The 20957-nt window shown below is 48.0% G+C and overlaps 1 long non-coding RNA gene and 1 other non-coding gene across 2 annotated transcripts in view, besides 1 other annotated feature; both read left to right on the top strand.

The window, feature by feature from the left end:
• LINC01250 (long intergenic non-protein coding RNA 1250) overlaps nt 1-20957 on the top strand; it is a 230979-nt gene that overhangs the window by 46784 nt on the left and 163238 nt on the right. The window lies entirely within an intron of this gene.
• Nucleotides 3471-3571, top strand: LOC124906153 (small nucleolar RNA U13). The gene has a single exon (XR_007088742.1). It is a non-coding gene; the product is annotated as a small nucleolar RNA U13 (small nucleolar RNA).
• Nucleotides 15672-16172: an enhancer, noted in NCBI's record as "H3K4me1 hESC enhancer chr2:3066843-3067343 (GRCh37/hg19 assembly coordinates)". NCBI's record gives its function as "activates a minimal SCP1, AML or CMV promoter by ChIP-STARR-seq in primed H9 embryonic stem cells {active_cell/tissue: H9 hESC(primed)}" and the evidence as "EXISTENCE:reporter gene assay evidence [ECO:0000049][PMID:30033119]".

Genomic DNA, 20957 nt, shown 5'->3' with positions numbered 1-20957 from the left:
TCCCTATGCCAAGGGTTAAAACTTGGTCCCTTGTGGAACACACTGTATCTGATGAATAATTCTCATTGACTAGATATGTAGACTTTATGAATGGAAAGGGTGAGAGCAAGATAGATACCTACAAGGAAAGTGTTTGTCCCAAATCCGGACTAAGCAGAAATGTCCAGGGACATCTGGGGGAGGTGAGATGAAATATTCAGACTTTGCTTTTTGCTTCCCTGAGCTGCCCTGCCTCCCAGGTGTAATTGTAGTCCCAGTGAGTCCTTGGAGACCTACAAGCTAAATGAGATATAGATTGAGTCATTCCTCTTGAATTTCACAGTCTGGAGTGCTGAGAGTCATCTGATCTTACGGCTCTGGTTAAAGAATTCTGGCCATCTAGCGGCCTGTGAAGGAGACTTGAGCACACACTAAGGCCTTGTTAGTGGGATGGCTGTGGTAGGAGGTCCAAGTGCAATGCGGAAAGCTACAAAAAGAACACACTGGTTCCAAGTAGGGATGTTTATGGAAGGAAGAAGGAATTTCAGACCCTCTGACATAGAGGCGCCATTTGGAAGAACTACCAAAACTGTATCAATTTGATACCATTTAACCTGGAGGAGAAGAACCCAGGCTTATTTGTAGCTCCTCCCTCCCCAGGTGTGGGAGGTGGTGTTTGGGGGGGCAGAAAGGCCTGGGGGAGGAGATGGGGACCCCGAGTTTGTTTAGGATGGGCACACACACGGTGGCTTAACGTGCACCATCTCGCCGTTTAGTTTCTGATTGTAACCACAACAACCGAAAGGTGGGATCACCTTCTCCATTCACAAGTGAGAAAACCAGGCCCCCAAAGAGAAGGAATCGGGTGAGACTCCACTCATAGTGATCACTGGAGAGAGCTGGAGAGGACAAGGCTGCATTTCCTATGCTCCGTTTAAGGAGGCAGAGAACACGAATCTAAACGCAAAAACGTTTTCAGAAATATGGTTCTACAGAAAGGTTTTGGTCCTGAAAGGACTACGTTTCTATTATCTCAAAACTGCCTGCTGTGAAAAGTCACTATTTTCTTGGTGTTCAGTGCAGTGAATTGCAAACGCTGAGCCCTGGGCCCCCTTCCACTGCCCCCGGAAAGGTCTGGTTCTCCCCGAACGATCAAACTCAGGGCTCCCTTACAATGACTTTGGAGGGAGGGGCTTATTCTGATTTGGGGGATTCAATGAAGGAGGTTTTGGGGTGTGACTACAGCCTGCAGAAGGTGGGGATTTGTTCTGATGGTGACCAGGTAACAAGGGATTCGTGGGTAGGCCTGAGGCTGTGGCCATACTCTCTCTCTCCAGATACGGGATTCCCAGATACAGGAGGGGGTTCAGTCCTGCCTGGGTGAGGGTTCCTTCAGTCCCCATTGGAGACAGCGGCTTGTGCACCAAGCTGAAACAATCTCTTATTTGAAAATACGTCATGGTGATTTTACAAAAAACAAAACATGAAGAAAACACTCTAGGCTGGGGGTTGCTTGCCCCAGTGAGCAGTAAAAGCAGGTTGAGGGGACACTTTCTGGCTGGTTTTCCTCTTCCTCTTGCTTCATGGCTCTGGGCGAGTGTGTCTCTGCGAGGTGCTCAGGGGGCCCGGCCTACCATTGCGGGGGAGGGCAGGCGCCTGTGTGCAGGGACCTGGGGGGCCCATGCCTGAGTAGACAGCAGGGAGGTCGCAGGGATGGCGGGGACAGCCAGCCCTGCTGCCTGGTGACCATGTGCGCACAGCCTGCTTCCTCCCTCCGAGAGGCTTCTCTCGTCATGAAAAACAATGGATATTCATTCTACAGGCTTTGGGAAGTAGCCTTTGTTCCTCCTGGCCCTGGAAAAGTGGCCTTAATCCAAAGTGATTACTTTGCAGCTCTCTCAGATTTATTCTTCAGTGATAGCCTCTCCTCTGCCACCTGCATCTTGAGCTCCAATTGCCCGCGGCCTGTCACAGAAAGGCCATATGTCTTTCTGTCCCTGTGCAGAGAATGACATTGAAGTCTCTTTGTCCTCTCTGAAGCTTTTGTGTGTGCGTGTGTGGCATTGACCTCCGTGGCTCATTCCACCCACAGTGAAAAGGAACCATAAAAAGCACAGGGGTTTGAAAAGTAGCCTAGGCAGGAGGAAGGCGCTCCCGCCTGGATGCTCGCGGGGTCCCTGCATCTGTCTCCTTTGGCTGTTGGCAGCACTCTGGCCCTGGTGCGGGCAGCCGGAGGTGCGCCTGGCTATTGTCTGGGCAAGGGCGTGTGGGTCAACCTCCTTCCTTCCTGTCCCTGCAATCTATTGTCTTTCTGGGCAGGCTAAGAAGCACGTCCAAAAGGGCTTGTGTACTTTGTTGCTGGGTCATTGAAGCTGCAAGAAGGAGGATTCCTTCTTCCCTTGAGGGTCTCTGTTCCTGGCATAGCAGCCTGGCCAATTGTCTTGATACCAGGATTTGGGGAAACCCCCTTTCTCCATTCTGGTGTTGCCTTTTTGCCTGCAAGGGAACTTGCTGTCTGCCTTTAACCTGATGCTTTAAGTCTTGCGGAGCCCTCCGGAGGGGCGTGGGAGCACATTGCCTGCCTCTCCTTCACTGTCCCTCCACCATTTGGCATTTATATCCAGCAGGAGACAGGACATGCAACGACTTCATTTCCTGGATGCCAAGTATTGATTGAAAGGTGTGTGTAGCCACACCCACTTTTCTGCCTGTTCAGAGTAACATGGATAATTTCTTTGGTCATTGTGTCTTGTCTCTGCTCAATGTGTTTTGCATTATATAAAAAAAAAATTTCAAATTAACTGCAGTTTAGCTGTGACTCAGTTTTTAATTGCTTGGAATTAGCACTTGATTTGCATACTACTTGATTTGTCAGTTATCTGTGACTTTGTGATTATCTGCACTAAAATGAGGGACCCTCCTGATTATGCTCCTTAATGGAAAGGGGCAGGACTGTGGGGGATCCCGTGATGGGAAAATCTGAAACCCACTGCGGTTTAACGCTGCCAGGCATGTGTCTTTCTGTTTCAGGAGGAATGTGCTGCTCATTCTTGAAATTCACTTCCCCGGAAGACATGGCAACCATGAACACTGGATCAGAGGTGGGGAAGCTGCCTGGCTTCCACTGGGCCCCACCCATCCACCCATCTTGGCCTCCTCATTCTCTCTGTCCATGGGTGGTGACAAGCTTTGCCTTGACCTGAGCCCATGTACCTAGGTTTGCACCTTCTCTGGAGTGAAAGAGGAGATGAGTTATTTTAATCTTGAAGATCCCAGGTCAGAACATCAGTTTTCTAGTCCAAGCGCTGCCTCACTGTCTTCATTTATAAAATGAGAGAGGGGATGCACTGTTCCCCAAATCTGAGACCCAGGGTGTACACGATTGGAGCCAAGTCTCACAGCTGGGGAGGAGTGGCTCTGGCACTTGAGTTCAGTTTCTCTGGCTCCAAATCTGTAGGGAGTGGGGGTCTCCCTTAGATAAGTAGGTTAAGATCCTTTTGTGATTCATAAGCGTGATGATTGGGTTTTCATGCTCATGTGTGAGATATGCCTCTCTCAAGCCTTGTTACAACATCACATTACCTGTCTGATGTTACAAAAAAAAAAAAAAAAAAAGAGAAGAGAAGAATAACAAGAACAACCACAGAAAGCCCCTCATCATCTCTCTGGGGCGTGCAGTGGGGCCGTTTCCACGGGGGCGGGCCTCAGAGCCCTCTGACTGATTCTTCTGGAGCACAGAGCCCCACCATGCTGATGTTCCGTGCGCTGGTCTGGGATGGTTCCCGCGCTCACAGCCTGGTGTGGTCAGCAGCAGGGTTTCATTCAGGTCTCTCCTTCCTGACCACACTGAGAGACCTGCAGGCAGAGGCTGACCTGAGTCACCTTTAGGGTCCCCAGGTGAGCTCTTGAATGTCTCCCCAGACCACCCCATCTCTCTGCTCCCACTCTGGGTCCTAACAGCGTCCTCCAAATCCACAGTTCTTACAGGGGATGTCTGCTCACTTAGGAGACGGCCCTGTCCCCAAGCACCCCCTATGCCCTCCAGAACGGAGAAGACACGCAATTCTTCATTTGGGTTATGTGAAATGTTGGCCCCTCACTGTGATACGGAAGGGAAACAGGGAGGCACTGGGTAGAAGACCGAGGTTCCCTGGCAAAGGCCTCACCCTCAAGCCTGAAGACCTGAGGACCTAAATGAGGACAGGCATTTCTGTTTTTGCACCTAAAAAGTTGCCTTCTGGTCTGCTATGCCCCATATCCTGTCCCCGTATAAACCCAAGGGCACACATGCAAGTGGCTGAACATCAGGACCAGCAGACCAGTGAAGGCAGAACAACAAGGCAGAGAAAGAGAAAAGCGGAGGGACACCTGGAGGCTGAGGGGAGTTCAGCCAGAGGTGGCTAGAGAAAAGTCCAGCACTGGACAGCCCGGTTCCAGGGGAAGACCTCCTTCCCCTCCATCACCTCCTTCCAGCTCCCCATCCATCTCGCTGAGAGCCACCTCCTCCACTCAATAAAACCTTGCACTCATCCTTTACGGCCACAAGTGATCTGAATCTTCTGGTACACTGGGCAAGAACTCGGAATACAGAACGCTGTCACACTAGCCCCCTGCCCTTGCAATAAGGCAGAGGGTCCATTGTGCTCATTAACACACAAGCCATCTGCAGATGGCAAATCTAAAAGAGTTTGGTAACACACACCCATGTGGGCTTTGGGGGTTGCAGACATCCATCTCAAATGCTGCTGTGGAGCTGGAGCCCAAAAGTTCTTTTCCCGGCCTCTGCACCTGCCCGTCTGCATGCTCCCCTGAGGGGTTTGAGCTGCGGGGCGACCAAACAGGTGACACCCCTATCGTACATCCTGCAAGGGGAACTCTCTGGTTTTAGCTGCATGGGGATTGCCTCACCTTTGCAACCCGGCTCCTGTTATTTGAACACAGAGCACCTGCCCTCAACATGGGATGTTTCTCGCCTCCAAGCTCCTGTGTCCTGGGCATCCCTTCCCACTGAAGTAGCCCTTGAAGCCTACTTGGCCTTCAAGGGCTAGATCCAACGCCACTTCCTTCAAGGAGGCCACCTGGATATCACCAGGTAGGACAGTAGTAACAAAATAGCAATGCGGCCTAGATCCAATGCCACCTCCTTCAAGGAGGACACCTGGATGTCACCAGGTAGGACATTAGTAACAAGACAGCAATGTGGCCTAGATCCAACACCGCTTCCTTCAGGAGGATACCTGGATCTCAGCAGGTAGGACAGTAGTAACACGACAGCAATGGGCATTTATTAGCATTTGCTGTGCCCGGGGATGCACTAACACACTTTACGGATGCGGCTGCATTCCGCCTCAGGGCTCTCTGTATAGTTGAGACTCTTGTTTTTCTCTCCCTGTGGGTGAAAGACCTGAAGCTTGGGGATCTCGTGCTTTCCAGGAGGCGGAGCCGCATTCCTGATCCGCGGCATCCGTGTGCTGGACCGCAGGATGTGCCTTCCAGCATTAACAGATCCCACAACGTTTTGTCTGCTCCTCCTTGTGTCCTTTTGAATTTCTAAATTTCTTGGCATTTCTTAATTTCTTGTCCTACTTGACTGCTAACATGTGTTATTCATACTTGCCTTATTGCTTTTGAATTTGTGGCCATAAACTCTTTGAAGTGGGGGAGTTATTTTTCCCAGAACACTAGCACAGTGTCTTGTACAGGACAGGTTATATGAAATTTTGTTAAGCGAAAGGGTTGATAACATAGTTGAAGTATGGATTTGTTTTACTGGCTGGTGGCATTGAGCGCCCCCTGAGACTGTGCAGGCTGTGTTCTGAGCATCTGCACAGACACCCGTGTGGGCAGCTCCCTGACGTTTCTCTACCCGCGGTGGGTCGCTGTGCCTGGGGACCGTCGAGGTTGGCAGGTGCAGCAGGAGCTGCTGACACCGGGCCACTGCGTTCTGGAAGGCTAAGTGTGTGTCACGTGAAGAGGGTTTCTGCTCTGTATGTAGCTGGCATTCCTCGGTATTTTGGATGAAAGACTGCCTTTTCCTGTCTGTTGTGTGGGTAAAATCCATGATGTTTAATGAGAAGACATTAAAGGGATGGAGTTCTTTGTTTTGCTGAGGTTTTGCTTTTCTGCCTCTGCAAAATCAATGATGTCTGTGTGGTCCAGAAAGGAATTAATCCTGTGTGGTATAAATGGCTGTGGCTTGACAATATCCAAAGCTGAAATGTTCTGCCCATCTCTGCTGAACGCTCTAATAGGGGTATCGAGGGTCAGGCAGAGGGGCCTTTCCCAGGTGACTTGACTCATATTTCAGACTGCTCTCTGTAGAATCGTCGGGTTATTTGCAGTGATTAGATTTTGTCTCTTCTTTGAGAAAATGTTTATAGTAATCTAGTTCCCTCTCTGAGTTAAACAATAATTAAAAACACATAAGAAAACAAGCTCCCTCCAGCGGCCTCTCTTTGGCCCCCAGGGTTGGGGATCGATTTTGCAGCAATCTTGCTTTGCTGTGGATTGCAGAATGTCTGGGAGTTCATCAATAGGTCTTCAGTCAATACCCTTCCTTTCAGCTTGCACCCCACAGTGCAATGCCTAAGCCAGCAAGGAAAAAGCAGGCAGGCCCTGGGGTTCCTCCAGCCCAGACCCTTCCCTGAAGGATTGAAATTGTATTACACTCAAACTGAGGTTACCTTTGTCAAATAATAACATCTTCCATCAACTTTTGTGTTTTGGTGTTTCAAAGCCTTCAGTTTCAAGGTCATAGAATTTCTTAATAGAGAAAGACCTCAAGACATATTTAAGTGTTTATCAATGATATTTTAAAAGCCATAACTTTAGAGAAAGAACAAAAACCATGAGGAATCCATACCCTCTTTTCCTGCCTCTCTCTCCCTCTTTCTTCCTGTCTTTCTCTCTCTCTCTCTCTGCCCCTCTCCCACCCACCTTCCTCTGACTTGAAGCTCATGTGTGCTCAGTGTGTCCTCTGGGCCTGGCATTGTTCTAAGTTTTCTACTGTGGATTAGCTAATTTGTTCTCCTCTCAGCTCTGAGAGGTGGGTTTTAATGCCCCCATTTTGCAGATAAACAAGAGGAATCATAGTTCTGGGGTTTTCTCAAGGTTACATGGCCAGTAAATAGTGGCATCCAGACCCAGGCAGGCAGCTCCACGGTCCACACCGTGTTCTGTGGCCTCCCTCTTTTTATGCCTGTAATTCATCATCCGTGTGCTGCAGTCTCTGAGCCCCTTTCTGTGTTGTCTTTGTCATCCAGTCATTCATTTGAATAAATATTTCTTCCGTGCCTTCTTGATGCCAAACCACAACCTGGGAGACACAGCAACAAATAAGATGCTGCCTGCACCCTCCAAGGGGCCGCAAACAGCCTGGGGAGGAGAGGAACTAGAAAGTGCCGGCGGGTGACATACGATGGGGAAAGTGGGGGCGGCTGGGCTTATGCTTTGAAGATCCCTCCCAAGCAGTGTAGATCAGGGTTTGGAAAGGGAGGAGTTGGCCGCTCTGGTTCAAACTGCCTCTTAATTCTGGTGCATGATGTCATGGTTCCAGGTACAGATTCTGGAGCCACATTCCCTGGGTTCTACCCACTCCAGGACTGGCTGGAATAGAAAACTGGCAGATTTTTTCCAAAGTATGGCTGAGAAAGATCGAATCTGTGAGATCTAGAAAAAACAGTGCTTCATTATCATTTGGAGGACAGGTGGGCCCAGCAGACCAAAGAGGCGGCTAGGTTAGAACATGGAGGTGGGTGCTTCGTGCCCCAGGTAACAGGAAGCTGGAGCTAAACGGGCTTGAGCTTGTTCAACACCAAAGACACGTGTTGGGTGTGGAAGGGGAAGTCCAGAGGTGGGGTGAGGTTCGGGCTCCTAGAGAACCCTGATTCTTTCTCCCTCTCCACTGTGATGCCACCAGCACAGCACAGTCCTCAGTGGGGCCTCCCTAGGGTGGCAGGATGCAGCCCACAGCAACAGCACCTCTTATCTGTCTCCAGCGATGAGAGCCTGCTGCCCCAGGTGGCGCTGGACCACCTCCCATGGACCACCAGGCCCCCTCCTGGACTAACACCAGGCAAGGGGAGTGGGGTTACTTCCATCGGCTTTGACCTCTCAGGAGCTGGGAGTGGAGTCAGTGTCTGCTGAACCCATGGCATGGGGCAGGTGGACATACAGACATTATTAGAAGGGGTAAAAGTGCTTCTGAAAAGGTGGCTGAAAGTACCCACTCCTTGAATTGAGACGTGGAATTCCTCTAATTTACTGAAGACCAAGGCCATCCTTTCCCCCAACAGCATTGCTGGAGCCGAGCACTCCAGGAATAGGTGCTTCAGTCTCAGTCTGGATTTCTATCCCCAATGCCACGGCAACTCTGAATCCACAGAGGTCCCCGGAATAGATGGACCCTGACGGGGATGATGTGGGCCGAGGAGCCGCGGGACTCAAGGCCTTCCTGCATGGAGGCCGTGGTTACTATTTGTTGACGTGTGTTCCAGGCGTGCACAACCTGTGACGGCTGGGAAGCAGCAAGAGCTTGGAAGTGAAATGAATCTGGGCTCCTGTGAAGTGGCTTAGGCTGTGGCTACTTGAACTTGTGTTCTTCTGACATTCAGAGGGGGAATAAGTAAATGCAGTTTTCCTGGAGAGCAGGAGAGGACATCTTATTTCATCCATCAGCCAACGTCACGTCCTGATTGTGCTAGGAATCTCGGGAGGTCCACCTTTGTGAGTTAGAGGATGCGAGCAAACATCTGGAATAACAATTAATCATGGGATTTATTATAACTGCCAGGCATTTCATGGTCCTCCCCACTTTTTTTAAGCATTTAGGGCTCTTTGTGTCAACTTAGAGAAAAATAAGGACCTGTTTGGTTGGAAGAATCTTAGACAATTTTGTAGCTCGTAAGGCAGATGCAGTTTAGTCGTTCTCAAAGTCTAGGGTGCTTCAGAATCTGTGGGAAATCTTGTTGAAATTGAAATTTCTGGGTTCCACTCCTAAAGATTCTGATTTAATAGGTCAACCATCATGCTTGAGAATTGACATTTCTTTTTCATTTTTAAATTCCTCTCTCTCTCTTTTTTTTTTTTTTTTTTTTACATTTATGGGGTAAAATGTGGTGTTTTGAGTTATGTAAACCATATGAATGATTGAATCAAGCTATCTAACATATTCATCACCTCACTCATTTTTTGTGGTGAGACATTTAACATTTACTTCCTTAGTTATTTTGAAGTACACAATACATTATTATTGATCATAGTCACCAGCCTCTGGGAACCATCATTCTACTCCCTATATCCATGAGTTTGACTTTCTAAAGATTCCACCGAAGTGGGAATTTGCATTTCTGAGGGGTCCCCACATGATGCCCATGTCTGGCCAGGGCTCATGCTTTCAGAACCAGGAACTCAGTTCATTTCATGGGAACTGGCTGAAGTTCTGGAACAAAATAAAGGTAACTCAAACCAGAGACATTTTCAAAAAGATACAAACAAAAATATTAAAATAGCATATCAATTCCTCTGCCATTTCTGCTTCTATCATCTTGAAAACCCAGAGACCACAGGCTCAGGAAAAGAGGTTTTCTTTTCTCTTTCTTGCATTTTGTTTTAAATTTTTCTTGTCCAAGGGCTTTGTCTTGCCCTTTGATACTCAAAATTTACAAAATCACCCCTAAATTAACCACTGAGCTTTGAAGATCCATGGTTACCTAAGCACATCACTGGTGTTTCTGCTCAAAGCTTTACAGGAAATAGTGAAGGAGTCATAAGGGAGGGATATGGGCACGGGGGAGTTGCAGGGAAGTTCCGTGGAGAGGATGCCCTTCCAGGTCCCGTGGGGCACCCAAGGACGGGGAAGGGCAGCAAAGCAGCTTTCTGCCCTTGAGATGTCACTTCCCATCCTGCTTTCTATTTTATTTTAATTATGGTAAGATACAACATAAACTGTACCATCGCAATCATTTTTAAACATAGAGTTCGGTGATATAAAGAATATTCACTTTGTGCAACCATCATCATCATCCATCTCCAGAGCTCTTTTTCTCTTGCCAAACAAAATTAAACTGTAACTGTCCACCCTCCGCTTCCCCCAGCCTCCTGGCAACCCCCCATTCTACTCGCTGGGTCTATGGATCTGACTACTCTAGGGACCTCAGATAGGTGAAATCATATAGCATTTGTCTTTTTGTGACTGGATTATTTCACTTAACATAATGTCCTCAAGGATGATCCATATTGCAGCATGTCAGAATTTCAGTCTTTTTTTTAAGGCTGAATAATATTTCAGTGTATGTATATAGTACATTTTGTTTGTTCATCTGTCGTTAGACATTTGAGTTGCTTCCACCTTTGGGCTACTTGTGAATAATGCTCCTGTGAACATGGGTGCACAAATATCTCTGTGAGCCCCTGCTTTCAATTCTTTTGAGCATATACCTCACAGTGAAATTGCTGGATCATATGGTAATTCTATTTTTATTTTGTTAAGGTACCGCCATACTGCTTTCATGGCAGCTACACCATTGTATGTTCATTTGCAGCAACAGAGCACAGGGTTCCCATTTCTCCACATTCCCTCCAACTCTTCTCTTCTCTTCTCTTCTCTTCTCTTCTCTTCTCTTCTCTTCTCTTCTCTTCTCTTCTCTTCTCTTCTCTCCTCTCCTCTCCTCTCCTCTCCTCTCCTCTCCTCTCCTCTCCCCTCCCCTCCCCTCCCCTCCCCTCCCCTCCCCCCCTCCTCTCCTCTCCTCTCCTCTCCTCTCCTTCCTTCCTTTCTTTTCTTTCTTTCCTTCCTTCTTCTCTTTCTTTCTTCTTTTTGTTTTTTGGAAATAGCCATCCTAGTGGGTATGAGGTGGTATCTCATTGTGGTTTTGATTTGCACTTCCCTAATAATTAGGGAGGTTGAGCATCTTTGCATGTTCTTATGGACATTTGTATATCTTCTTTGGAGAAATGTCTATTCAAGTCCTTTGCCCATTAAAAAAAATGGATTATTGTTGAGTTGCAGGAGTTCTTTATATATTCTGGACCAACCCTATTTTGATTAATAACATTCCAGACTGGTGGCTGGAGAAGCTGCTTTCTGGTGTTAGCTCTATCTTTAAGTAGCTGTGTTATGTTAATCCAGTGGTTCTCAACTGGGGGAGATTTTGCCATCACCTGTGGTCAGAGGTCAGGGATGCTATTAAGCCTCCCACAATGTAGAGGAAAGTGCCCCCACAACAAAGAGTGACCTGACCCAGGAAGCCAAACGTGCCAAGGCTGAGCAACCTGCGTAGAGCAAACCATGCCCCTCCTGGGGATGACAGTCCTCACCTGCATGGTGGAGGCTGGACTATGTGGTCATGGAGGCACCATCCTATTTTAATCTCCTGTGTGCTCACTCCCTTTCTATCAATTAAAAAAAATCTTTACTGGTCCTCTTCAGTCTACAATGGATGTTTACACAGTCTCAATTTTTGCTTAATCCACATCAGTTCTCAGTTTGTTGAGCTTCTGGTCCACTTTGGCAAAGCCGGCCAGGAACAAGAGGGAGCAGCGCCCTGACCACTCCTCCCTTGTACAGCTGAAGAGGCTGCACGTGTTGTGGTGGGAAGGCCGGAGCTTGTGGGTACAGGCTTGGATTCAAACCCTTGCTAGTCGAGCGACTTGAGGACAAGTGTGCTATTTACTCATCATGCATATTTCAGCTCACACCCATTCAGATTTGTGGGAACAGAGATGTCCGTAAGTCTAGCACTGCTCCCTTGAGGGACTCAAACAATCTTGACCCCATCTGAGCCTCAGTGCCCCCAGCTATGAGATGGAGACAGTAATAGCTGGCTCAGAAGCTGACGTAGGGTAAATGAGGAAGCCTGGAGAGCATACCCCAGCAGCGCTGCCTGGCACACGGCAGGCGCTCATGAGTGCTCACTGATGACTGAGTGGAAAGCTTCCTCCAAGAGTCTTCTTGGGAATAAAAAATCCAGTTATTCTACAGATTCTGGGAATCTGAGTAATAATGATCATGATCTGCAGAAATTCTATCATCTTCTTCATTCTGATCTACACCTGTGTATGGAAAACAGCCCCCTAGAAGTTGCAAATTCTTTCTCATGGTGTTCGGCCTAGAAGTCCTAAACCACGGATGTGTTATCATCGCAGGCACTGAAAAGATGGGGTTGTTTTCTCTCTGTTCAGCGGGCCAGTGATTGCTCTAAGGGAAAGAAGGGTCCCTTAGCGCGGGGAGTAAGTTTGGCCTAAATTGAATCATATCCTGGTGCCAACCCTCTGTGCTTGGTTATTAGTGGCCCCATCAGGGGCTGTCAACACTCACAGAGATATGTGGCTGGGGAAAAGCGCCTTTTCATTTAGAGCAAATTCCTTGAAGACTTTTCTTAAATTATTTCTTTCCCAAGAGTGGCTGGAAAGTGGTTATTCATTTAAATATTTACCATGGGGAAAATTTCTCACCGACTGCAGGCTCTCCTTGACTGAGGGACCTGAGACCTGAGGCTGTGGGAGTGTTTCTGCAGTTTCCTTTACAATTTGGAATTGCCTTTTGAAGCACTACCAAAATACAGAGCCGATGAAGCATCAGTCTTACACACATTGGGAGAACAAAGCCAGGTGTTTTGTAAGGAAGCCACGGCTGCCATGTAGTTAGTGAGGATTGAATGGTTTTTCACGCGGGCACTGAGCTATGGGCTCTCCTGTATTATCTCATTGCATCCGACAACCCTATGAGGTCGGACTCATTTGACAGAGGTGGAAACTGAGGTGTACAGGGATTCAGTCAATTGTCTACAATCCAGTATATCTGGTCAGTGGGGAGCCCGGGTCTTCCTGATTCCAAAATGTATGCTTTTAACCACCCTGTTATATTGCAGTGAATGACCCTACACTGGGAGAATGTTCAACTTTTATTATTTATGTTCTTTTTTAGTGTAGGTAGCACTAAGCTTAGAGAGGTCTTTTTGGAGGAAATGGGAAGAAAATGTCTATTCATTTCAAGGATGAATGCCAGGCTTTCAAGAATTAAAAATTAGGCTTATTGATGAGAGCTTTCAAGTCCCACAGCGGTGGTGCTGTGGTTAAATCAGCAAGGCTGTGTCATGCATATTTTCCTTTGCAGCTAGAGGTGAGGACACCATAGAGAGACAGCGGAAAGTCTGAGGACACAGCTTCCCTGGTGATGCTGTCCCTGGATGGTGTTTACAGGGAGGGTTCCGAGTGAGAATGGATGGCTATTTTCTGATCAGCCAGCCTGCCATTCCCAAGCTCGGCTTGGCCAAATGCAGAGAAATCTTGAGAGCCTGGGGAAAATGCTTTGGTCATGCACTGTTCCTTTTCCTCCGTTCTTTCCACCTTTTTTAAAGCTAAAAACTTAGTAGAATAAGCTCTTTAAAAATTGGTTTAATTGCAAAAGTAATACACACCTTTACAGAGTATATAGAAAATATAGGCAAGGAAACGGAAGAACACAGAGATAAACCATAATTCAACTGCCTAGCAATTAGCAGTCCCCACTAGGAAGATTTTGGGGTTGGCATTTCCAGCCTTTTTGTTATGCATGTGCACACCTCCCCGACTCCAGACACAAGATAAAAACATTTGGAGTTAGCAAAATAGAAAAAATAATGCGTATTTTGTTCTCACAGTATTTTTTTCTTTCTTCAACTTTTGAGTTCTGGGTACAGGTGCAGGGTGTGCAGGTTTGTTCCGTAGGTAAACATGTGCCATGGTGATTTGCTGCACAGATCATCCCATCACCTAGGTATTAAGCCCAGCACCCATTAGCTATTCTCCCTCCCCCCAGGCCCCACCAACAGGCCCTGGTGTATGTAGTTCTTCCCCATGTGTCCATGTGTTCTCATCTTCTGCTTGCTCCCACTTATAAGTGAGAATATTCGGTGTTTGATTTTCTGTTCCTGCATTAGTTTGCTGAGGATGCTTCCAGCACCATCCATGTCCCTGCAAAGAACATGATCTTGTTCCTCTTTATGGCTGCATAGTATTCCATGGTGTATATGTACCGCATTTTCATTATGCAGTCTACCATTGATGGGCATTGGGTTGATTCCATGTCTTTGTTATTGTCTCACAGTATTTTAAAAACTATTTTCTTAATATAATCAGCTCTTCTTTTTAATTTTCTGTTTCAGGCTCATCTCACTGTTGTACTATGTAGGCTGGTTGATGTATAGGTTGTCAGACATTCTCAGTTGAACTGAACACACATACTTGGGCTTTCTCTGATCTGTTCATTACCTCCTTGGTATGTATGGGGCAACTGTCAAGGGCAAGGTGTGTGTGGCATACACGATGTTTTGGAGGACTCGAGCCCAAAGACTGACACCCAAGGAGGTGACATGCATGTGAACACCCAGGAGTTTGAAGCTAGTGAAGACACCTCAAGATGGCTCACTAGGAGTTTACCAGCCTCGCTTTGTGAAGGTAGGGGCATTTGTCAGGGTCCTCATGGATGGGTGGTCTATTCTGGGGGAGGCGGTGGTGAGTAGAGGTGTGTCTTTCTAGATGACTGGGCTACCTGGGGCAAGGAGCCTGGGGCATGGTGGGGGTAATGGCTGGACCAGTCTGGCTGAGTGGAGGGACGAGAGGAGTTACCCAGTGAGTTCAGCCCAAGAGCCAGACCAGGCCCAAAGTAGGAAACACCTTGCATTCTGGACCAAAGTCTTGGAAATTTCTGGTTCTCACATTAAGCGGCACTGTGACCTTGAGCAACTGAACCAAACTCAGTCTCTTTCCATCCCATTCCATAAAATGGGAATAATGTATTTGGAACTACATGTATTCATTGGCCAGGATAATTGAATTTATAATAAAATTTTACCATCATAATGTGCCTAATAAACAACTCCCCTCTGGTTGTCTGTACAGTGGGTTGCACCACTGCCTGGCTCCCAGGGACACCTGGCATGGTGAGTGGAGCTGGGACAGAGCTCAGGGCAGGTCAGCGTCTTACCTGAAGCCACCACCTGTGACTGTGGGAATGAAGTCCACATCTGCGCACTCCTCCTCTCGCTGTCACGCTGCGTCCGTTCAGCTTTATGACATCTGGGGCACCCTGTGGTCAGAAGAGCCCCCTGACCTACGAAGCCCAGTTTCTGCTCCTGATCGACGGGGCTGACGACTCATCAGGATGTTGTGTTTTTTTGTTTGTTTGAGGTTTTTTTTTTTTTTTTTTTTTTTTTTTTTTGAGACAGAGTCTCGCTCTGTCACCCAGCCTGGAGTGCAGTGGTGCAATCTCAGCTCACTGCAAGCCTCCCAGGTTAACGCCATTCTCCTGCCTCAGCTTCCTGAGTAGCTGGGACTACAGGCAACTGCCACCACGCCCGGCAAATTTTTTGTATTTTTAGTAGAGACGGGGTTTCACCATGTTAGCCAGGATGGTCTCAATCTCCCGACCTCATGATCCACCTGCCTTGGCCTCCCAAACTGCTGGGATTATAGGCATGAGCCACCGCGCCCGGCCATCAGGATGTTTTTATAGGGAGATGACTACAATTTGCTGCAGGCACCTACAGTTCTTTGGAAATTTTTAGGAATCTCTAATTAGAAAGTGGTATCCCAGGAAGTAGGTTAAATTCAAGCACTCGGTCCTATTGGCGAGCGGTTTAGTGGGGATTAACTTGAATTGGAGGCAGACTTTGGCATGAGTTCAAGCCTTGGCTCGCTTTACCCGCTGATTGTGACCCCAGACAAGTCACCTGAGTCTTAGCCTCCTTGTCTTTAAAATGGGAGCAGTGGCCAGGCATGGTGGCTCACGCCTGTAATCCTAGCACTTTGGGAGGCTGAGGCAGGCAGATCACCTGAGGTCAGGAGTTCAAGTCCAGCCTGGCCAACATGGTGAAACCCTGTCTCTACCAAAAAATATAAAAATTAGCCAGGCATGGTGGTGCATGCCTGCAGTCCTAGCTACTTGGGAGGCTGAGGTGGGAGAATTGCTTGAACCCAGAAGGTGGAGGTTGCAGTGAGCCGAGATGGCACCACTGCACTCCAGCCCGGGCAACAGAGTGAGATCCTGCCTCAAAAAAAAGGAGGGTTAGTGACGCTTACGCCTGGGGAGGATGCAGGATTCCAACGTCTCGCATGTGGCAAGTCCTTTCCAGGGCCTCACCCCTCTCAGAGGCTCAACAGAGCCGGTTCCCTGCTTGACCGCCCTGTCTCTGTCGGCCGCAGGGGTGGTGTCCTGGCTGAGTCAGCCTCTGGCCCCACCTGGCCCTCTCCTTGAGGTCTGTGTGGCCTTCTCAGGACACTCGACTTTGGGGACCCAAGGTCCCAGCGTGCACGTTAACCCTTGTTAATGGGCCCTGTGGATGGGTCAGCTGTGAAAAGAGTTGTCTAGGACTTAGGGCTGGAGGCTGGTGGAGAGGCTTGGGATTTGCAGTGCCATCTCCAGCTGTCTTTCTAAAGCATGCAGGGGCTGTCATGGGTCTCAGATCACCTCACGTTCCCCATAAGCTGACTTAGACGCCTACATGATTGGTTGCATCTGCCTTTAATCTCCCCATTCTCGGAGGTTCAGGTGCAGTGTGGGCCTGATAATGAGGATGCCTCCCCCTGTGGTGGTTCTGGGAGAATGCTCCCCTGAGTGTGCTGCAGGGAGGTGATTTCTGGATTTCACAGACAGCCTGTGATCTTCATCTTCCAAAGGGGTACAGGTGATGGAAGAACAAGTAGTGATTGCTCCTACACATCTCCAGCCTGAGTGCACAGAACCAGAGGCTCTTCCAAGCCAGAAGATTCTGCAGCACGCACATCCTCCAACTCCATCCACCTGGGAGATGCAGAGCCTGGGGCTCGGGATCTTAAACGCCATCCTGAGGGTGCTTTCGGCTGGTGGAAACAGAGCCGGGGCAGACCCAGCTTCTCTCTGTGCATCCCAGGGCATTTCTGGACACCACAGAGAGACTTGAAAACGTGGCTCTCCAGAGGAAGGGGGAGACCTCGCTTGACAAATGCCTGCTCTGCACTGGGAATGTCACCTGTATTATCACATAGGAGCCAAATTTTGCAGGAGAGCAGAGGACGGAAGACATTGGCTCAAAGCCACATGATTGAATTCAAGACTGAGCCTGAAATATTTCTCAGTAGTAACGTCAGCTACCACCTTACGCACCATCTCAGTTTACCCTCCCAGTGACCCTACAGGAGAAATATTATTATTCCTACCTCACCGAGAAGGAAATGGAGGCTCAGAGGGATTAAGAAGCTTGCCCCAGTTTGCAGCAACAACACGCCTTGGTCAGGCACGGGGCGAGGTCCGCTCGACTCCTCAGTCCGTTCCCTCCTTACTGTGCTCTAAGTCTGTTCCCTCTGCACTGAGTAGGCACTCAAATGTATTTGATGTAGTTTGTCCCCCTTGCCAGTGATTTATGTTTATGAAAGTAATTGTCATAATGCATAAATGATGTAAGGTTTTATGTTGTGAAGCACTGTATGGTTTATAGGACAGCTCTGTAGTTTTTCACTTGATTCTCCCAACAGGGCTGTCTATATTTTTTGTAGATTTGGGATCTAGACCTAGAGAAATTCAGCTAACTTGCCCAAGGTCACAGGCCTGACCTTGACCTTGACCTTTGTCAGTGGTGGAGCTTGGTTCAACCTTTCTACCTTTTCAGCAGTTTGGTTACAGGAACCAACACAATTCTTCTTCATTTGCTGACAGCGGTTCAAGTTGCATTTCTGTCATTTACAATGGAGGATCCTGATGAACATCTGTGACATATGCTGGACTTGTGGGTGGGGAAGGCCTGGGAAGTCTCGCCAGCCTCGGTCGGGTGGCTGTCCTGAAGGAGGCTTCCTCAGCTGTCCTCAGGTGGGTCTGTGGTCCCTATGCTGGCTGGCAGGTGTCAACAGGACAGGGCCTGGTCAGTGCGTCCATTTCTAGTCTCTTCTCAAGGACAGAGGTTTCCTGACCACAACAGGAGAAGTGGAAACATTTCTAAAACAGAAATGTAGACAAACTGCTATTTTTATGCGGACTCGGTACTTTAAAGTAGAATAAAGAAATAGAGACTTTTTTAAAAAGTCTAATTTCTGACCTGACAATTCCCCTTTAAATACTTTATTACTTTTTAAAATTGCTTTCCGTGTCCCCAAGAAAAATTATCCCTATAGTGACAAATGGCTTGTTTGTCGTGGGATTCAATTGTGCTTATAGTTAACTAATATAAGAGTTTGGGCTAATATAAAAATGTTGAACAAAAGGTGCCTTTCTCTAAACCAATTATTCTTTCCTTTCCCATATTGCATTACCAGGGGCCACCATCATGGGACCTCGTATATTCCTTTTTCATGAGCCACATTTTATTTCTTTATCCTCTTTTCTGGGATTCCGCATTGCAGGCCCCATTGCCTACAGAGAGTAGACAGGAGCTCAGGTGAGGCAGGCCGGGGAGCGCCCAGGAGCACTGAGGCCATTTTGAGTGAAGATTTTCTCTCTGGAGCAGTTATTTGGGAAAAGATAAAAGCCGATTCTCAATTGATTCTCATCCTTCTTTAGATTGATTTAACCGTGAATCCGGTTCGCCCTCCTTCTCCCATAGGGGCCTGGAAATGGACCGTGCCGCCTTCTGAGCCCAGAGTGTCAGCTCTCGCCTTTCCCTCACTCACCCCCTCACCTCCCTCTGTCTGCTTACTGCATTTTTAATATTTTGTTTTCTTTCCTTAAAAAAAATGAAAAAAAAAAAAAAAGAATCCTTTCTCCAACTGGTGTTAAGAAAGCATGCAGGAGATCAAAGCCACAGATCCAAAGATGCGTTTCCGCTGCTCATCTTTGGCCCATTTAAATATTTTAGCAAATAGATGTCAAGTCAATAAAGCTACCAGATCAGAGGATGCCTGTAAATTATTTGTAGAAAATAATTCAACTCTCTGGATATTCATTGTTATCTCCCCCACGAAACACACCCACACCGCAAGAAAACGTCCGGCAACACCCCACTGTCTCAAGGCGAGGAAGATAAATAGCAGCTGAACACAGGCCTGGCTGGTTCACGGAGGGAGAGACGTGATTGATGACACTGGTTTGAGTAACCTGCGCTCCATCCTCACCCACGCTCCCACCGATGACAGCCCAGGAGCCGATGGGGAGAACTTGAGCATCGCCTGACCCACAGCCAAATCCTCACGCCCGGGCTGTGGGCTCCTCAAGGCTGCAAAGTCTCCGGGCACTTTTCATGCTTCCACCACCACGCCTGGTATTTGGCATATAGTAGAAACTAAATTTTGAGAACTCCTAATTTATGAATGGGCAGAACCTTCTCCCTTTCCCCCTGGGGTCTGCTGTGTAGCTCCTCACTCCGCTGGGTGCCGGGGAGGCTGATCTCAATGGATGGCATCTGTCTGGCCCCTTGGCCTCCGCGGAGGGTGCCGAGAAGGCGGAGATGGGGTGGGCATGTATGCTCCCAGCTCCTTCCAGCCGGGCTGCCCCACGGAGCGGGAGGGCCAAGGCCTTCTCCCCGGTCACGGCCTCTCCCCTTGCCCTGTAAGCCTGGACCGCTGCTGCCGGCCCCCGGGGCCTCATCATCCTGCTTTGTTCCTTGCACTCTGTCCACGCCGTTGTGAACAGTGCCTCTGATGCACGGTGGCAGGTGCCATGCGTTTTCCGCTGAGATCCTGACCGGCACGATTAACAGCGTTCCAGGCGGTGGTGGTCTCGTCTGTTTGTTTCTGGGAGAGGCTTATTTTTACTCCTTTGAGAACATAGATTTAGGAGGTTGGTGAGGAAATAGTGTTCTTTCTCTGGGGCTAGATTTGCCAGATAATTTTTCCATTTCCCTCCGGGTCTTTGAGCCGCACTCTGTTCTGTGTTGAGGGCGCGCTGGGTACTGTAGGGGGTATGAAGTCAGGCAGGATTCCTGGCTCGAAAGGGCTTCTTGCAGGGTGCAGGGGCCTGCACGCACGCTTCCACGGACCGTTCCGCACCCACGTGGCCCCCGCTTGCTGCTGTCGCCTGGGCTGCCTGCTTTCTTCTCTGAGTGGGACTTTCCTGAAGGCGGAGCTGAGCGTTTCTCATCTGGGCCCTCCCAGGAAAGACTGAAGTCTGGCTCCTGAATCTGTACCCAGGAAAGATTTGTTGAATGAATGCTCAGGGTTGAGGAGATGCCAATACCAAATTTTGCTTCTTTTCAGAGCCAGGGTAGGTCCCACGATTAAGCATTTAGATGCTTCTGCACCCAATGTGATCAGCACTGTTAGAACTGCAGGTTTTAATAGACTACCAATGGTCTGGCTGATTCAGATACGATAATATGCAATTTTCCTCCCTGAAACAAGTTTTCTGATATAAACTTTGTTACTGTATAGAAGTAACAAAGTAAGCCAGGTGCAGTGGTTCACGCCTGTAATCCCAGCACTTTGGGAGGCCAGGGCGGGCAGATCACTTGAGGTCAGGAGTTCGAGACCAGCCTGACCAATATGATGAAACCCTGTCTCTACTAAAAATACAAAAATTAGCCAGGTGTGGTGGGGGGTGCCTGTAATCCCATCTACTCGGGAGGCTGAGGCAGGAGAATCACTTGAACCTGGGAAGCGGAGGTTGCAGTGAGCCAAGATCGTGTCATTGCACTCCAGCCTGGGCAACAAGAGTGAAACTCTAAAAAAAAAAAAAAAAAAAAAAAAAGTAACAAAGTAAAATACTAGTTACTGGCTTTAAATATTCCATAGAAACTAAACCATTAACAATAGAAAGTTGTCAGAAACGTGAATTTCTTCCAAGTGTGTGTCATATTTGTCAAGCTCTGTGTCGAGATAGGAGAACCCTGCCTGTTATCTTACATTAAAAGGAAGGCAACTGTGTAAAATGCTCATAAAAGTTCTCCTATTGTTTGTGATCATGGGTAATATAATTTATATTTTCCATTTTAGAGGCTTCAAATCTATACATGATTATCACTAACAATAATTCACCATGTTCAAAATCAGAAAGCCTGTCATTTTATATCTTTCAAGCCCCATCTCTTTAATTTGAGATT

This window comes from Homo sapiens, chromosome 2 (genome assembly GCF_000001405.40).
Source record: "Homo sapiens chromosome 2, GRCh38.p14 Primary Assembly".
Lineage (NCBI taxonomy): Eukaryota > Metazoa > Chordata > Mammalia > Primates > Hominidae > Homo > Homo sapiens.
This window is presented reverse-complemented; position numbering and strand designations above follow the sequence as displayed.